This window comes from Homo sapiens, chromosome 2, assembly GCF_000001405.40.
Source record: "Homo sapiens chromosome 2, GRCh38.p14 Primary Assembly".
In the NCBI taxonomy this organism is placed as follows: Eukaryota; Metazoa; Chordata; class Mammalia; order Primates; family Hominidae; genus Homo; species Homo sapiens.
Window position 1 is genome coordinate 140318206 of NC_000002.12, and position 20554 is coordinate 140338759.

General features: G+C 34.5%; 1 protein-coding gene across 3 annotated transcripts in view; it reads right to left on the reverse strand.

Moving 5' to 3' along the window:
* The window catches only part of LRP1B (LDL receptor related protein 1B), a 1899594-nt gene that overhangs the window by 86783 nt on the left and 1792257 nt on the right, over nt 1-20554 (reverse strand). For all 3 annotated transcript variants that reach the window (NM_018557.3, XM_017004341.2, XM_017004342.1), the window contains 5 exons: nt 17410-17633; nt 16248-16354; nt 7557-7673; nt 5688-5861; nt 3758-3883 (listed from right to left, as the gene is read on the reverse strand). In NM_018557.3, the coding sequence (NP_061027.2) occupies nt 3758-3883; nt 5688-5861; nt 7557-7673; nt 16248-16354; nt 17410-17633 (748 nt within the window). The remainder of the gene's footprint in view (nt 1-3757; nt 3884-5687; nt 5862-7556; nt 7674-16247; nt 16355-17409; nt 17634-20554) is intronic.

Sequence of the window (20554 nt, forward strand, 5' to 3'; positions counted from 1 at the left end):
CAATAATTCTGAAATCCACTCATTTATGTTCCAACTAAAATGGTCCAAACTGTTTATTTTTCAAGACCTATATGTGTAAAGGCTAATTTGAGTGTTGTTATCACTTTGATTAAATGTAAGATTTTCTCTTACATTACAAGAATGGGCTTTGAGGTTTCTGAAATCATGCCTTTTAAGCAGGGTTGAAAGAGCAAAACACATCTCCAAAAAAAGTTTTAGATCGTGGATAAGTGTGCATGTAAATAAGCAAGATTCCTTCTTTCAAGCATAAAATGATACAATTTGGTGACTTAATGCAGCCAAAAACTTGTTTCATTTTCTTACCTACCTCAAAGTGACATATTGATTTTAAAGGGCTATGTGTCTACTTTTTGCAAGGTATTGTGCTAGCCCTTCTATGCACGTTATTGCTAGAATTTCCAATAACTCTGGAAGCTAGAATTTCCAATAACTCTGGAAATGGGTACTCTGGGTGACACAGAGATACTGGGATGTATTGTGTGACGATTAACAGAGTGGACCACCTACATTCACCCTGGGGTGCCACCATTTACTAAGTAATGTTAGACAATCAAATGAGCTTCTAATGCTTCCATTTTATCTGTAAAATAGGAGAAATTACTAGATAATAAAATCTGAAGATTAAATAAATTCATATATGTCTACAAACATACATAGAATTTGCTTTCCTCATAGGTTTTCAAAATATTTAGTATTATTACTAATGTCAGTGGTAGTAATATTAGTAGTATTTATTGTTAATTTGATGTTATATAGAATAAACTGAGACCAAGGGACGCAGGTATAGAGTCCAAGCACAACAAAGTTATTTAAGTGGTAGACTTCGGCCTAATCTAAAGCTTCATCTCAGCCCTGTACTAGGTCATGTCCTTGCAGGGTATTCATAGAGTTTAGTTTTGGACACATAATTTGGACCAAACAAAGAGGAAAGGAGGAGGATTATGTAGAAGAGGTTGTGGAAACATGGGATTACACAGAAGAGGATTACATAAAAGAGGAAAGGAAAACCACCAAAAACTGTCTGAAACTTGACTCTAAACAATACTTGTAACATCAGAGCCAATGTAAAAGTCACTTGGTAGCATTATTAGTTTATTTCTGTGCATTATCCTAATCTCTCTCCTAAATGCCTCTCTCACCCAAATTTTCTAAGTAGATACAGTACAGAGGAGGCACCTGTGAGGGCAATGGGTGAGGGATTATGTGGAACTGCTGAAGGTATGACATTTCTACAGAAAAGTTGTCGACAGTTAAAGGATCTGTTTCTGAGAGGTTAAGTGGAATATAACACAGGAACAGAAAACCAAATACCACATGTTCTCACTTATTAGTGGGAGCTAAATGATGAGAATGCATGGATACACAAGAGAAACAACACACACTGCGGCCTTTTGGAGGGTGAAGGGTGGGAGGAGGGAGAGGATTGGGAAAAATAACTAATGGATACTAGGCTTAATACCTAGGTGATACTTTGCAGAGTTTACCTCTATGACGCAGGCAGAACAGCTTTTGAGAACGTGGTACTAACAATATTTGGAAATGTTCACTTGATTCTCTTATTCCCCTATCACAGTTGAGATAACAGCTACTCTGACTGGGAGAATGGATAAAGGGGAAGGGAGCATCCCAGTGCCATGATGGCATCCCTTTTCAATAATTGGCACCAAAATGCCCGTCCAAAATACCAATCATGATTCACACTTAGCTCTCTGTTACAAATTTTCCAACCTTATTACCCAAAACAGGGCTTCACACTTCTACACACTAACTAAAATGAATGACTTATTATTTCCTTTACCCACCATATTTCCATACTTCTCAGACAGCTTTTCTGTCTTAGTGTCCTCCTCCCTCCTTCCATTTAATCTAAATCCAATCTGCCTTTGCAGACCTTGTTTAAATGTCATATCCTATAGGAAATTCTGACTGATCCCCTATTTGAATAATAATCTGAATTCTCCTAATAGTTTTAACTCTGTCTCTTCTGTGGCTTGTGTCACTGGCCACATAAACATCTATTTATTGGTGCTTATCTTATTCATCAATTCATCTTTTCAAACGCTTCGGCTCTGCATATCAAATGCTTAAAGAATATAAAATGAAAGTACTACAATAGTTTTAGACACTGAGTGCCTTATAAAGAGCACAAGTCTTCAAATTGGATGTAACCTTCAGCAGAGAACAAAGAGAAAAATCATGCAGAGGTGGAGATGCTGACTGTGAGGGTAAGGACCCAGAGTCCACGTGAGGAGTGCATTCTAGCAGAGGGAAATACAACAGGTAACAAACCCTGCCATGAATAATGTCTGTACCTCATTGGAAAATGTTTGCTGTGATCCTCCAGTGATTTTGGAGCGCTACATTTTTTTTTTTTCCTTTTTGTGGAGAATGGGTACTTGCTATGTTGCCCAGGCAGGTCTCGAACCCCTGGGTTCAAGCTGTCCTCTGGTCTCTGCCTCCTTAAGTGCTGTGATTACAGGTGTGAGCCACCACGCCTGGCAAGAACACTGCCTTTGTGTCTGTGACATAAAATTTAGTATGTGTGGGGGTTCATGCCTGTAATCCCAGCACTCTGGGGGGCTTAGGCAGGCGGATCACCTGAGGTCAGGAGTTCGAGATCAGGCTGGCCAACATGGCAATATCCCATCTCTACTAAAAATACACACACACACACACAAAATTATCCAGGCATAGTGACACATACCTGTAGTCCCAGCTACTTGGGAGGCTGAGGCAGGAGAATTGCTTGAACCCAGGAGGTAGAGGTTGCAGTGAGCCGAGATCATGCCACTGCACTCCAGCCTGGGTGACAGCAACACTCTGTCTCAGTAAGAATGAATGAATAAAATTAAAATAATTTTTAAAAGTATTATGTGTGGATTTTCTTTTAGTAACAATATTTTCCCCATTATACCTAATGTCTTGAATATGAGGTAACTTATTTATTGTCAGTCTAGCTGGATATTCAAGAGACATATTTTCTTTCCTTGTGCTACCATACTGTTTTGTGTTTTTTTTATTTTTTGTTATTTAATATTTAGCATCTGAAGTAATGTTTCAATTTTTATTGATTATTCCAGCTTCTAGCTTCTGAAATACAAACTGCATGAATGAAAAAAATCTTATCCATTTTGTTTCTGTTAGTTTTTAGTTTTTACATTAGTGTTATGCCTTCCTTCATCAGCCCTCATAATTATTATGATAATTATCATAATTATCAAAGAATAATTATTATTATTCTTTGTGGTAATAGCAGTAGTAGTAGTATTGTAAGTCCCATTTTACAGAGAAGAAGCTAAAATTTGGTTTCTAAATTAATTCTCAATTTCTAAGTTAGTGTTTGGCACACAAGAGGTAATCAATAGAAATGTATTGAATAAATAAATGGATTTTGGGGCTGAGTTGAAACCCATAGCAGAATGTTCTCAAAAAATATTGTTTTATCTAATAGAAGAGTTATAAAAAAAATCTCTTTTGGGTCTGTGAGTGACTTCAAAGTTCTCGATCTGTTGTTAAGTGCCTGTAAATGTTCAATGCTGCTTTGTGAATAAATGCAGAATGAATTGTTTGAAAGTCTTCTCCAGAGAAAAGTACAGTTTACACAGGCATTCAAGAACCACTGCTATCAAGGTAGCTAAACTGATGATGGAACAGATAATTTCACTCCATTTCACGAGGTGTGAAATTTTATGATAAGGATTAATTCATTATTTACAGAATAATAAAGTATACCCACCTAACAGGCTGTCATCATTGCAGGTGCCATTAATCAAATATTTTCCTTCTGGACACACACAAGTGGCCCCAGAAGGATTTAGCAAGCAAAGAAATTCGCATGCTAAATCCAAGCATGGATTGGGTACTGGTGAAACAAAAGAAAACAAAGAAGTGTGTAAATATAGATACAATAGGCTTCAAAAGCATAAAATTAAATAAGGCGAAATGATTAATTAGCAATGTTGAAAAGTAATCACATTAAATTTCCACTGATGTGGAGTATCTCACTCAATATCATCATTCTCCTTTATAGGTGAAGAAAAATTACCCAATGCTCATCATTAATAGTAAGTTTGCCTTATTTATATTTTCCAAAAGAGAGAAGAAATTATTCAAATCTATACCTTGTTACTTTTGCTTCTAATTGCTTTTGGCATAAGAGTTGGTCCTAGAACCTGAAGTACCATTGGGACTGTGTTGGAAACTAAAGCCAATGGAAGTTTTGGGGGGATCTGACCTTCATTTCAACAGCTTATTTATTTTACAGAGCTGTTCTAACAGACAAAAACAATCCCCCCGCCTTGTATTTATTAATAAAAAGGATGAAAATGCATATGTAGCTTGTCAGTACAAGGTATAAATGAAAAATACGACTTTTTTTTTGAAAAGACATGTCTAAAGTGGCTTCCTTTCCATCAAGTAGGAGTTTGTGTGCATGTCTAAATGTGTGCCATACATATTTTTGTTTAAATTTTTATCCAATCAGCATCCTTTGCAGTCATAGCTGATTTTTGACCTTTCCTAGAGATTATTTCATCAGAATTAAACAGAAAGGGCACCCAGGTAGCTGAGCTGGTGACTATGAGAGTGGCTTTTTTTCTGGAAGAACCACTACTCAAATGCCTATTATATTCAAGACAGGGTTTTGTCTACTTTTTATGAATGTGGCAATATTCAACTATGAATATAAAAAAGAACTGGAGGATGAGAGAAACTGTCCTCATATTAACCTTGGAACCTTATATGCCAAATTATTGGTAAAGAGCAGCAAGACTTTGGATAAAATTTCAGGATGTTTTAGGAAACTCTATTTGGTTTTATCTGTTGTGAGAAGTGATTTGAATAAACACCAACTGTTATCTTTCCAGATAAATGCACCAAACAAGATAAAATCCATTTCATTTGCCATAAATAGTAATTACAAATAACCCTTCAACAGCATCTTGAAGAGCGAACTGATCATTAGAATTTCAGCCATATTATTATTTTTCACTTTGTTGTTCACTGTTTTTGATAGCTGTGTTAGAAATATATTTTCAAGAGAATTACCTTAATTACCTCAATGACTTACCCACTCCTTTCTAGGAGGGAGACTAACAATAAGTCATATACAATAAATCAGAGAAAATATACAACTCTTGGGAAGAGTTCTTTTTGTATATATTTAAGAATGATAGTTACTTGTTGATTAGTGGTAAGAGTCAAAATGGCTAACAATAAATTTCCTTCCTTAGATAGTTCGTCTATGCACTCACAAGGTTCTATTAACACCTAATGCTAAATGATGAGTTACTGGGTGCAGCACACCAACATGGCACATGTATACATATGTAACAAACCTGCACATTGTGCACATGTACCCTAAAACTTAAAGTATAATAATAATAAAATAAAAGAATTTTAGAAACAGAATAACAGATTATTGTAAGAAAGACAGTTTTAATTTCAAGAAAACATGGCCAAATGCTGAACATTTTCCCAATTACAGCAGAAATAGAATTATCTATAGTTTGGTAAGTTGAAAAAGTCTAGTGACATCAAAATTAAAGTTACTTAAGTTACTGAGGTTAAGACATTTACATAGTTAAGATATTTAAAAATATATTATTTTGAGAGATACAAGAAAATAATTTACCAATATAGACAACTTCATAATATATTATACTTACAATCTAGTTGTTTATAACGATGAGATATCAAAACACCTTTTGTTTTATCAATATTTAAAGCTAAGTACTCTACTGAACCATGGCCAAATTTTTGAACTCGAAATACACCATTTTTAGGTCCTGCTCCATATATATAATCTTCAAAGATATCGATCCTATGTGGATGTAATAAACCTGGAATTTTAAAAAGGCAGTTATGAAAGTTTTAATGTATATACTCAGACTTTAAAAACTATGTTTATCCAAGACGATATTGAAAACCTTATTACTGTTTAAAAATAAACTTTCAGAATTGGAATATTTACAATATTAGCTATGAAGTTCTTAGAATTAATATATCTGAAGTAAGGATATGCAATATAGTAAACATGTTACTTAAAACATAAAAATACACTTCCATCATCATTTAACCATCTTTACCATCACAAAGCATTTTCTGGGGGTTATTATTTGCAGACTAATCCTCTCTGCTATGCAGTTGACAAAAGAAAAGCCAATGTTATCTGTAGTATACAAACAGGCAATTTACACAACTCAGTTTGTGTTCTGGATCAAATAAATGATCAAATTACATGCCCAAATGACTGGTTTATTAAGCAATCAATCAATCAGTTGATTTTTAATGAGTAAATCCAAAAATAATATTTGACATTACTATTATTCATTTCAGAAGTGGAATAAAGAAAACAGTTAAATGAAAATCATTCTTCATCTGATTAGTTTGTCTAAAAATAATAGTAACCATTATTTTCACATCTTGTGATTTATTTTCAGAGATTTTATAGAATAATTATTCTAACTTTTGAAACTGAAATTTATAACAAAACGACATTTATATTTTACTAATTATCTAGAGGTTGTAAAGTATAAAGTGTCTTTATATTCATATATTTTTCTTTGCTGTTTCATGAAATAGTAAAATGTGTACCAAAGCCAGAACAAGTTAACTTCATTGTAATTAATTACAGGGATCTGAACTTTTTTTTTTTTTTTCCATCTGAGGCCATTGATTAAAAAAAAAACACACACACTTTAGGCAAAGGCACAATAAAAATTTGATTTAGTTGTTTTTCTTTTAACTTCCCTGTGTTATTAAAAAAAGGGAAGCAAAGCTATATTCAGTAAATATATAACATGCAAATATAAAAATTTAAAGTGGATATGATAATTTGTGGTTACAAAAAAATTGTGGGAAGGAGTTGAAGTAGGGAAAAGAAAGTGAAACAGAAAGGGAAGAAATTAAATTCAGCAGAAAGAACTGAGACAGCCAGGCAGAGAAAAAGTATGAGGAAGAGAAGGGAGCTGGAAATATGAGACAGTAAAAAATAGGAGCCAGGCAGATAGGTGGGCATAAAACCGGTATAGCAACAGAGGAGCACAAGTAGATTAAGCAGTCACTGGTGGTAGAGTTAAATGGTCATTTTTGACACATCACTGTTTATGTGAATAAGGGTATATCCTTCGGTGGTAACAATCATTACTGTGATATTTTGCTACATACAGTAACTCATTGTTTGCTTGTTATTGCAATTGAAATAAAAGTTAGTGTCCACAGGTGCTGATCTTGACTACTGAAAGTGTTCTGCTCAGAATGGAATAGCCACGGAAGCCACAGAATGAAATTATTTTCTGAATCTGGGCAGCAATGGCCATGTTTGTTCAAGTCAAGATGGACAAACTTCTGCCCTGGCCTCTATTTTTTTCCAGTAGGAATGAAAATTTTAATTACTAGTAAGCCTTATAAGTTGAAAGGAGAAAGAATTTAAGAAAATCCAGAATGCAAAGTAAAGTATCCATACTTACATTTTTGTATTAGTATTTAACACTCTCAGTAACAATTAAAAATGAAGACAAAAGCACTTCACAAACCTTGTTTGCTGCTGACAGAGACTACTGAATTAGAGCCATCATACAGAACACTGCCAATGATGGAGAGCTCAAAGTCAGCCCAATATATGCGTTCACTAAAATAATCCACAGCCAAACCTGCAAAATCAACACACACAAGACAAATAGTGCAAGTAAATTTGAAATCATTCAAAATCATACTTTTGCTTCTTATTGTATAATTACACTTGACATTTGTCTTCAAGCATCATAGAAATTACCTGGTGCCCATCATGAAACTGTAGAAATTAGAAAAAGTAACTCAGTCTTTATCTCAAATACATAGGTTCAGACTACATGGCATTTACTTAACAAATTCTAGCAAAAGTCTTATTTCACATAGGAAAGTCTGTCCTAAATATCCCTTCTAGCCATATTTGTGGTTTCTTAATTTTAGCTATTCTCTAATAGACTTTTCTTTAATATTTCCATTTTCATCTTCATATTATATGGAGAATGAATTCATTATTTAAATCATTTATCGGACCATTATTTAAAATGAATTAGTATATGTATTTTTAATTCCTTCACGAAGGTACAGTTCTCAGAATATACAAGGTTCATGTATTTAATTAAAATATATTTTCACCCATTCAGAGTTGGCCAACGGTGTTATCGGATATCTGTGTGCATGCTGAAGTTAATGTGACTAAAGATTGATATTAGCTGGGTGTGGTGGCTCACGCCTGTAATCCCACCACTTTGGGAGCCTGAGGCGGGACGGTCAGGAGATTGAGACCAGCTGGCCAACATGGTGAAACCCTGTCTCTACTAAAAATACAAAAATTAGCAGGGAGTGGTGTCTGGCACCTGCAATTCCAGCTACTCCGGAGGCTGAGGCAGGAGAATCACTTGAACCTGGGAGGCAGAGGTCAGTGAGCTGAGATCAGCCTAGGCAACAGAGTGAGACCCCCTGCCTCAAAAAAAAAAAATGTTTATGGTAGGGAAGAATAAACAGTAAAGTTCTCGATTAAGGTTCTAGTGATATTTAATTTTCTCTGAGAGTGCTTGTCTTCAGTTTCATCACAGGTAGATGTCAGTGAATGATAATGGACTGAAATAATACACAGTAAAAATAATATTTTTCTACTTTTTTAGTTTCATTTTTTGATTTCATGAATGTGATTGGAATCCATCCAGTATATTTTTGTAGAAATATCATCAACACAGAGAATATCTAAGAAAGTAAACTTCCTTCAATATGGAAGAGTAATATGTATGACTCATGAATTCTATAATACATCTTCACTGCTGTAGATTAACTTTTGTGACATAGCTACTGTCTGAATATGACATATTGCATACTTCGGAAGTACAATGCAGTTAAATACCTTAGGCAACTGAAGAGTGTTCCCAATGAAAACATTCAATAAGCAACTGAAGTACATTTTAATGGCAACGCAACTGAATGAAAGGTACTTTTGAGTCTGTGCTAGACTTTTATTCCTGTGTAACTGGACCAAGACTTAATAATCAGAATGGAAATAATCCACATTGGAAACCACTAGTGAATAATTCTTCAGTTAAATACAAATATTTAGCTCACATGTAATCGAACTAAATATTTTGTTCCTCAAGTAATGTATAGAGATGTATCATGCCTGACCAGATCCTGAGAAATAATAATTAAGCAAGTGGTCATTGTTTTACTGGTTTCTGCTCAATTATTAAATCGCTATTTGAAGTCATGTAAGAAGATATGTTTTTGCATTTTCATGTAGAATTATGAGTAATATGAACCACAAATTACCCAGTTTTTTGCTGCTGCTCCTATAGTTCAAAACAGTTGACTGAGAAGGGTTAAAAACATAAAACATGATTCTCTCTCCTCTACCAATGTGCTACAATAAAGAAGTAGCTAAAACAAAAACCTGTTCCCGGTAACATTAGTTTTAGACTTAAAAACATTAATATTGATAATCACAGAAAGGAAGAAAACAGTGAGTATGTAATCCAATTTAATCAACAATATTGTTTTTCAGAAGCAGTAAAAAGGTCTCAAAAGTGTCACATATTGCATTGTTGGTCTAGGTTTGTCTAAGACCCACTTTTATCAGCTCTGGCCATATTTTGTACTATTGGATGGAATTACATCTTGATAAAAATTATATAACAAAGTTTATGGATGAATGGAATTTATACTCCAAAAATCCACAAATCAATACTTTTGATTTTCTATTAAGCCCTTTAATAAAAGAGATAGTCTTCTAAATTAAAAAGTTAATAAAGGAATCAACTAACTTTTCCTGTTACAGAGATGAGAATCAAGTTTATATGAAAAAAGTTCATGTCTATCTTTAAAATATCATGTCTTCTTTTGCTCTGTAATAAAGAACCAATAATAAAGTGGAAAAAAATCAATTCTCAAGAAACTCATTTTTATCTGAACAGAGGAAGATGAATATTTGGAACCAAGTCACTAGGAGCACAGAAAATTTGAAATAAAATGTCATACTTGTTTTAATTAAGTATAATAGAATCACAATTTGAACAGTTTATAAAAGATACATAGGCTCACTAAGTTTTAGTGACACAGGATAATGGAGCTAATTATGTAGTCATTTTCAGTATATCTCCCTTGATACCAAGACTACTTTATATTTTAGGGATTTTAAAATTTCACTCTTGTCAAACTCTAAAATTTTCTAAGATCTACTAGTTCCCCAATTTCCATTGTAGGCTGGAAGAAAATGAAAGAAAAAAAAAAAGAAAATGAAGAAAACAAAATATTATGTGAAATGACCACAGTATTAAGAGGCAGGACTTGGAGAGAACAATAAATTTAAATCACTGTTTTTCAGAACTAGAGAAAATTATATCCATTCTGTTTTAATGGAAAGCCAAAATTTGTAAGATAGTAATAACCACCAAGTGTGAATTACCATATTCTTGATTTAAGAGGTGATAAAGGAGCCAAAAAAGCTGGATACATACCATTATGTCAAATTTATTTTAAAAAATTGTTAGAGTTTCAGATTAGAAACTACATTAAAGTCATGTTTTCATACACACACACAAACACACTTATTTTTCATACACATACACACACACATCTATTTATGACAGTGATGGTAAACTAAATTCAAATAACAGCAAAATAATCCTAACATTCATATCCACTTTATTTAACTAGAGACATTATGTTGGCCAACAAATTTGCTTATTGAATCAAACAATTAATTATGAGTGGTCCAGGACCAGTATGTAGTTATTTATTTTCTTAGAAATTGCTGCAATCTGGGGGAGCTAGGAGGCAATGTAAATAAGCTTTTAAATATCAAGGAATGTAGTTTGAAATCAAACTCATGTAATACTACATACTCTCCTTACTGGATGCAAAGCTGGAAAGTATCCTTGTCTGACACACCATTCATTAACCCTACATACTCATGGGTACCTCCCCTGTACCACACACTGCCAGGTACTATGCACAGAGCAGACAACAAAAGAGTTCATGTTCCTCATACCTCAAAATAATAACCATTTATGACAAACCCATAGCCAATATCACACTGAATAGGCAAATGCTGGAAACATTTCCCTTGAAAACTGGCACAGACAAAGATGCCCTCTCTCACCACTCCTATTCCACACAGAATTGGAATTTCTTGCCAGGGCAATCAGGCAAGAGAAAGAAATAAAGTGTATTCAAATAGGAGGAGAGAAATTCATAATGTCTCTGTTTGCAGATGACGTGTTCCTATATCTAGAAAACCCCGTCTTCTCAGCTCAAAAGCTTCTTAAGTTGATAAGCAATTTCAGGAAAGTCTTAGGATACCAAATCAATATGCAAAAATCACAAGCATTCCTATACACCAACAATAGGCAAGCAGAGAGCCAAATCATAAATGAACTCCCATTCACAGTTGCTACAAAGACAATAAAATACTTAGAAATACAGCTAACAAGGGAGGTGAAGGACCTGTTCAAGGAGAACTACAAACCACTGCTCAAGGGAACCAGAGAAAACACAAGATGAAAAAAACCTACCATGCTCATGGGTAGAAAGAATCAATATTGTGAAAATGGCCATACTACCCAAAGTAATTTATACATTCACTGCTATTCCTGTTAAACTACCATTGACATCCTTCACCAAATTAGAAAAAAAAACAAAAACAAAAAAACTACTTTAAAATTCATATGGGCTGGGCTCCCACCTATAATCCCAGAAGTTTGAGAGGCTGAGGCGGGTTGATCGCTTGAGATCTGGAGTTCAAGACCAGCCTGGCCAACATGGTGAAACCCTGTCTCTGCTAAAAATACAAAAATTAGCTGGGCATGGTAGCAGGTGCCTGTAATCCCAGCTACTTGGGAGGCTGAGGCAGAAGAATTGCTTGAACCCGGGAGGCAGAGGCTGCAGTGAACCAGACTAGCATCACTGAACTACAGCCTGGGCGACAGAGCAAGACTCTGTCTCAATAATAATAATAATAATAATAATAATAATAATAATAATAATATGGAGCCAAAAAAGAGCCCGTATAGCTAAGATAATCCTAAGCAGAAAGAACAAAGCTGGAGGCATCACATTACCTGACTTCAAACTATACTACAAGGCTATAGTAACCAAAAGCTATGGTACTGGTACAGACACATAGACCAATGGAACAGAATAGAGAGCTCAGAAATAAGACTGCACATTTACAACCATCTGATTTTCAACAAACCTGACAAAAACAAGCAATGGGGAAAGGAGTTTGTATTTAATAAATGGTGCTAGGAGAACTGGCTAGCCATATGCAGAAAATTGAAACTGGACCCCTTCCTTACACCTTATACAAAAATTAACTTAATATAGATTTAAGACTTAAATGTAAAACCCAAATCTATAAAATTCCTAGAAGAAAATCTTGGAAATACCATTCAGGTCATAGGCAAAGGCAACGATTTCATGATGAAGATGCCAAAAGCAATTGTTAACAAGAAAAAATTGACAAATAGGATCTAGTTTAACTAAAGTGCTTCTGCACAGCAAAATAAACTATCAGAGTGAACAGACAACCTACAGAATGGTAGACAATTTTTGCAATCCACCCATCTGACAAAAGTCTAAATTCAGAATCTACAAGGAACTTAAACAAATTTACACGAAAAAACAACCCCAGTAAAAAGTGTGCAAAGGACAAGAACAGACACTTTTCAAAAGAAGACATGCCTTTGGCCAACAAACATATGAAAAAAAGCTCAGCATCACTGATTATTAGAGAAATAATCTAATAGTACTTCATACTATTAGATAGTACTACAATAGTATTTCATACTATTTGGCCCAGCAACCCCATTGCTGGGTATATTCCCAAAAGAATATAAATAATTCTATTGTAAAGATACACACATGTGTATGTTCACTGTAGCACTGGTCACAATAGCAAAGACACGGAATCAACCCAAATGCCCACCAATGATAGACTGCATAAAGAAAATGTGGTACATATACATCATGGAGTACTATGCAGCCATAAAAAGGAATGCGATCATGTCCTTTGCAGGGACGTGGATGCAGCTTGAAGCCATTATCCTCAGCAAAATATTTCATGTTCCTGCTGTCATGGAACACATTGCTTACCTGCCACACACTTGATTGAAACAACATATTTTTATTGTGTCTTATACGGTGCCCAATAACAATAATAATCAGTGTGTCATTTGAAGGCACATATTCGAATCACTCCTTAAAATTATACAATGGCTCAATATTGGCTAAAAAGTTATGTTGAAGCCCTTTGGCATTTAAGGTGTTCTCTTCTCACATATTATGTCACCCAACCTGTGCCCTTCTACATGTGCCATGATTCCTGACATCAGCAGAGCATCCATATGCTGTACATTGGAGCCCCTGGCTCAGAGGACTATATTATTTCATATATCTGGCATTTTTAAAGTTAGTTATCACTATATATATACATATATATATATATATATATAATTTTAAAAGGGTGTTTCGCTCTTGTTGCTTAGGCAGGAGTGTAATGGTGGGATCTTGCCTCACTACAATTTCCGCCTCCTGGGTTCAAGCAATTCTTATGCCTTAGCCTCTCGAGTAGCTGGGATTACAGGTACATACCACCATGCCTGGCTTATTTTTTGTATTTTTAGTAGAGGCAGGGTTTTGCCATGTTGGGCAGGCTGGTCTCAAACTCCTGACCTCAGGTGATCTGCCCTCCTTGGCCTCCCAAATTGCTGGGATTACAGACATGAGCCACCACACCCAGCCAATCTTTTGATTTTCTATTGATAAAGCCAAGGTTTGAAGGTAATAAATTCATTTCTGAGGTCTCACAGCTAATAAATAATCCCTTGAGATTCAAAACCAGGTGTATCTGACTCCAATGAAGAGCTTTTTAAAAATTTCCTCATGATGGATTACCTGTTTATCCCTCAAGTACTTATTCAAATGTCACTTTTCACACAGTTTTTCTTTATTGGAGATTATCTTTCTCACCTTTGAACTCTGCTGTTATAAAACACGACAATGACACAATTCTTACCTTTTGCAAAAACTACAATTCTGCATATGCCTCATTTTTTTTTCTTTCTCTAACGTAAATTTGTGAGAAAAAGGACTGTGTTTTGTTTATCACTAAGTTGCCCATAAGAGTTGTTGAGCAGAATGGGTAATACATGGAAAGTGTCAGATCCATGCATCTGTCACTGGTCCCAGTGTTGGAGACACTGTGGTGCCTTATGCAGATCTCCTTTACTAAACAGGAGTATCCAATTCCTCACTGGTGCTTTTGTAGTGAGGACTCGCACATACCCTCCTTCTCCAGATAATTGTGCTTAACTGGTTGAAGCAGCTTTGCTTGGAACATCACAGCCCCAAGGCCAATTAATGATTGATGGGGCATATCAAAAGCAGATCCCCTTGCCTGTCATAAATTTATACTCCAAATAGTGGCTCAAACCAAGACTAGCCTCGACCTGAAACACAGTTTACTGTGCTCCTTCCCCTTCTCTCCCTCTGTCTTTACAGCTTTCTTCTGCATACAACTACCGTCATAAATGACTTTTACAAGAATTCTCATTTTAGGCACTCGCCTAAGTACCGTGCTACAGGTAATTCCACAAACTGCTGCCAGTGTCATTCTTTAAAATAAAAACATGTTACATATACTATTAATAATGATTATGTAAAATAACACCAAAGAAGTATTTTAAAAATAAAAACTGTGTTTGAGATTATGCCACTTACCTTGCCGTATTCTTCAAATAGCTCTCTTCAAAGCTAGAATAGAATCCAGTTTTGCATTTGAGTCACCTTACCATCCTCATATCTTCCATTCTCTTGAATTGTTTCTATGCTTCTGGGCATACTCACCTTCTTTCTGTTTTCATGCTAAGCTAATTCCTTACTCAGAACGTACTATTCTATTTTCTTAAAAAACTCTTTCCTCATATTCACTTCACTTGCTGCCTCTCTTTAGTCAGGTCTCTCTTTCAATATCCCCCTGCTACAGATAACTTCTCTGATCATAACTAAAATAGTACCTCCATTGACAGCCCATCTCTTACTTTGCTTTTCTGTATAGCATGTATAACAATGTGACAGTATATATAAATACATATTCTATCCTCTATAGGAAGATAGATTTCATGAGGGTTAGAACTTGCTTCACATTGTTTCTTCAGCATTTGGAACAATTTCTGGCACATGGTAGACATTCAATGGGCATATTTGTTAAAGCATGGGATGAAAACAGATTTATGTAAATAGACTAAATTTCAAATATTGCTTCTCCCCATAAAGAGTAAAAACAATCTAAATGAATGGAAAGGTATAAAACACATTAAAGATTAATAAGAATATAAGCACTAAATATAAATAGTTTAAACTACAAAAGATATTACAATGCATAATTATTAAATAATATGTACTACGAACAATGCATTATGTCCTTTCTGTGGAGGTATAGTCGGTGGAGGGTAGGTGGCACAGAGCCCTTGAGGCTCCTGTAGTCTGAAAATGTTTTACTGAAGAAGTGCCAAAGTTAGATGTACAAGATGGGAAAGATATAACTAGGTAGACAAAGGTTGGAAGGACATTCCAGATGGGGGAGCTGGGAGAAAAATGGCATGGGAGAAAGATCATGAAGACAGAAAAGATCTGAACTTCTGGGCAGTCCTGAGAACACAGATGCTTTGGAGTAGTAGCTTAGATGGCAAGGTGGCCAGGGAGATTAAAGCCATATTGAAAAGAGCTCTGAATGAAAAGGCAAAAAAAACAAAACAAAACAAAACAAAAAAAAAAACACCAAACCTGTCTTTTACATAAGGTATTTATATTTAGCCACCTATTTGTTCATTTCATCTCTCATTCTCTAGGAATATTTCCAAATATCCCAACTCCATTAACATATATCTGTAAAAATACCCTAATGTATATGTATTGCTATAAACTGTCAAAATTTCATGCCTGTGAAATCCGACTAATAGCCTTACAACTTAGGCAAGTTTCAAATAATATTCCTGTAATGTAACTGACAGTATAAGGACCTGATTTTCAAGTTGAGAAAATAGGAAATGAAATGTAAATAACTTCATAAAATCATACTCTAAATAGTTTTATCCACTTGTAAAAATACTTATATTGCCAACAACACTAGAAATAACTGTTAACAGTAATATACTTGTCATTCTGCTTCATATTTTAGCGTGTGTCAGAAATCATACCTGTGGGTCTCTGTAAGTTCTTTTGTACTAAAATCCTTCTCAGTGTACCATCCATGGCTGCTTCTTCTATATGGGAATGATCCCCAACAACAGTCCAGTACATCATCCTGAAGAGAGCGGGTCAGAGAGGTTAGCCTGGTGATGGTGCTGCTATAACCAGACTCTGCTCCGCAAAGCAGTGGCTCTTCAGACCACGTGCCTCAGAATCACCCCAGAGTCTCTTAAAAAGAGTCAACTCAAAACACACAGAATGAGAACCTCCAATAAATGGCCTGGGGAATCAACATTTTAAAGAAAGTCTTGCCTACACACGTTAATATTTGAGAATCATTGTATACTATGATGTACTACAGCTCATTATTTAATATCCAAAATTCAATTTTGAAAATTTCATTAAAACTCAGAGAAAAAATATTTCCACCACATGAAACTCCCCTTTTGTTTTAACAGAATAGTCATTTTATTATGGATGCTGTATGAACACGCTATTTTTTTTATAGAGAAGTAACTATTTTCCCAAACAGAAATTATTCTTTAATTTGGAAGACTGCATAATTCTAATAATTAAGTATAAGTTGTCTCTTTTTACTCAGGAGTTATCAATCCACTTATAGATGATTAAGATTTTTAGTTAACATTTTTCTATTTCCTTTTTGGCCATTGCCTGTAGGTTTACATCTCTAACTAAAAGAAGGAAATGTCTGTAACACACTCTTTAAATTTGTGTGTGTGTGTGCATGTGTATATATATATGTGTGTGTGTGTGTACCTTCATCTTTTATTACCATAGAGAAAAATGTTAGTACTCTACATGTAATGTGTTTGATATTACGTTTAATATTTTAATAATTCAATTTTAGATTATAAACATCACACCAGGCTCATTATTCTGCAATACACACATATAACCATGCACAGACACACATACAGACACACAGGCATACTGAATGCATAATACAGGAATATTTCAGAAAAAAAATTTGTATCATCATTTGGTATGAATAGGACATGCTTTTTTACAGAAGAAATAGTACAAGGATATTTAAAAGCATGTGACACTATTACACATTGAACACTCATTACAGAGACAAAATCTATAGAGCATAATTTCTAAAAAGGATATTCATTATCAAGAAATAGAAATACTAAGCCATTAACCTACCCTCTTTTAGGATTTACTGCAATAGCATAGGGTTCTCCAGCCATATTTGTTAAGAGTCTGGTGCAGTTGGGGCCATTCAGCTGCCCTACGTTGATAGAGTACCTCAGACTGGTCCAGTGAGTAGTGTAGTAACTGAACCAATGCATTCTAGAATGATCAGTCCAGTAAATGTTTCCAGCCACCCAGTCAACTGCAATGTCCCTGGGCCTTTTAAATTCAGGACACTACAAGGAAACAAAACAACACACCACGGTATTTTCAACAGGAAATTAGCGGAGTTTTCTGTATCTTTACATTGAAGTTATGGGGGAATTGTAAGAACATAGTCATGAGTTAATTGCTATATAGATGTCAAAAAGATATTTAATGCTATTTTCAATCTTTGCAGATGTATTATCTGCATGAATCTTAATTGTACAGATCACTGGAGTTTAACCAGATTGCACCTGTTTAACCATTACTCTGCTGAAATATTTCCAGAACCATAGGAGGTTCACCCGTGACTTCCTGCAGTCAATATTTTCCTTAGAGTAACCATAATTCTGATATCTAACACCACAGATTAGTGGCGTAAAATGTAACAAAGAATCATAGTCTTTCATTCCAGAAATCTTTTGTTCAACATCATGACTATGAAATGTATCCTTATTTTGTATATATCAATTTTTAATCTTTTCATTGCTCAGTAGTATTTGTTTACTGTTCTGACAATATCCACTTGGCTTGGTTACAGTCTTAGGCCATTACAACTAAAGTTATGGATAGTTTAGTACTTTTTTTTTTTTTGATGGATACAAACACTCAATTTCTTTGGGTATTTACCAAGGAATAGAATTAGTGTCTTCAAGTTTATGCACACTTAGCTTGATAGGATGCTGCTAGAAAAAATTTTCAAAGAGTTTGTAGCAATTTACGATCTTTTCAGCAATGTGAGAAAAACTCAGATGCTCTGCATCCTCACCACACATAATTTTGTTCTACAATTGAAAAAATGATTAGTATGGCTAGACACATTTAGGGTAATACTATATCTTAACATCTTTTGAGGAAAGTCACAATATCTGTTATTTATCTTACATTTGATAGGTTGGATTATCTTAACATTCTGTTTTACTGTATTACTGTGAGACAAAGGTAGCAGAATTCATTGAGACTGGACAGCAAGAAAAATAACTTATTTTCTGTGCCCTTCAATTAACTTGATCACTTTGAGCAGGAACTAGTGTAGTAATTAATTTGACATGGCTAGGTTTATTGTGCATAACCAAAAGTGAGAAGGTATTCCCAGGGGTATTATGGCAAGAGTAGAAACAATTATTTGAAGGTGATTACAACTAGATGTGTAATCAATACGTAACAGCATCTTTAAGACCTGAGAAGCAGTGGAAATATGAGTTTTTAACACATGAAGTCTTCTTGTGTGGGTTCGGAGGAACCAATATTATCAATCAGTGGACTTGGATTAAAAGAAAAGAAACTGAACATCTCAAAAAGAACACGGGATGCCAAGAAACAGGAATTGCAAATCACTGTCTGCCGCATGATTACTGGGATCTCAAGGAAAATACGGCTTACATTAAACACAGAATCCATAGACAATTTCCAATGCTGTTTATGATCAGTTCTTTGACCTATTGGACTTTAAAACTGAAATTATGAAATTTTATTACCCTATTTCTCAACTTTAACAATAAATGTTATCCATATAACCAGTGATATCTCAGTTACCTGAATTAAATGTAAAGCACTCCGCAATACAGTATACTCTAGAAATGTCATATAAATAATATTCATAGATGTTTAGAATATAAATATTTGTCCTAGCCAAACCAAAAAATCATTTTCAAATGCTCCAGTATCATTTAAGCTAACCGTATTTTTATTTTCAACTTGTCATCATTTAAAAGTAAATATATCACCAAATGTCATGTGCATGTCAGTGTGAATCATAAATCTACAAACATGAAAGACAATGGGAAAAATCACCATTATAAGCTGTTTTAAGCCTGCTGAAGCATATGTGTAATTTTCTAACACTTATGACACAAACCTTTATGACATAAAACTTATAATGCCCTTTGTCTGATTGAGCATAGAAAAAGTATCTATTTTCTGTTTGTGAGATGTAAATGTTTACACCTTATTTTCAATCCTCATGGTATCCCTGGTAAAATATGTCATATTCCATGCAAGTTCCACTTCTGTTGAATTTAGGATTTTCATTTCATTTAATTCATTCTCAAAAAATTCTGATTATCCTTCAACTTTAGACTTCTAAACCTAGACTGATGCCAATTAATAACCCAGTTTCCTAATGTTCATAGAGCATTCAGAAGTTTGATTTAGTGATACTTTTTCAAGTAAACAGGCTGGTGAAGATTTTACTAAGGGTGAATTGTAGAAGGATAAATTTAGGTCACATTTCTAGGGTAAAGAACATGGATTAGAAAAACGAAAAAAAAAACTTACTTTTCATGATAAGTACAAGTTATATTGATGACTTGCAGAGCCATTTAATATATACATTTATTCTCCTTCTTCTGGAACAAGGAATCCCTAATGTCATTCAAGTAACAACTAAAGCAGTTAGAATATGGGGTAAAAAATAGACACATGCAATTAATTCAAACTAAATTTATGATATCATAAATGACAAGATGATTCTCAGAGAATAATGGCAGAGGGTGGAGATGTTACCAGGTGTTCATCCTCAATGACTCACAATAAACTAAATGCTTATTTATTTTCAACACTGAAGAGAGAATAACAAAACAAAAGACAATAAGGAGGAAGAGGGAAGAAAGGAGCAGAGGAGGAAGAAGACAACCCTATCAGAAGGTGACAACATATTAACCTACTCTCAACCTATGGCCAAATTAGGAAATCACCCTTTGTACTGAGCTTCACAGGAATGAAATAATCTCTACCATTCACATCTTGACCAGGATTCTGAATAGTATTAACCATATAAAAGGGAGTCTGATATTGAATGGATGTTCACTGGAAGATGAAAGGCAGAAACCCCTGTTGGATCTTCATATTATGATCACACAATTTATTTAAGGAGAGTTACCAAAATCAATCAGGTAAACACAAAAAAATGGAAACACACAGGAAAAGTACACTGACATTCTGAGAGTGGAAA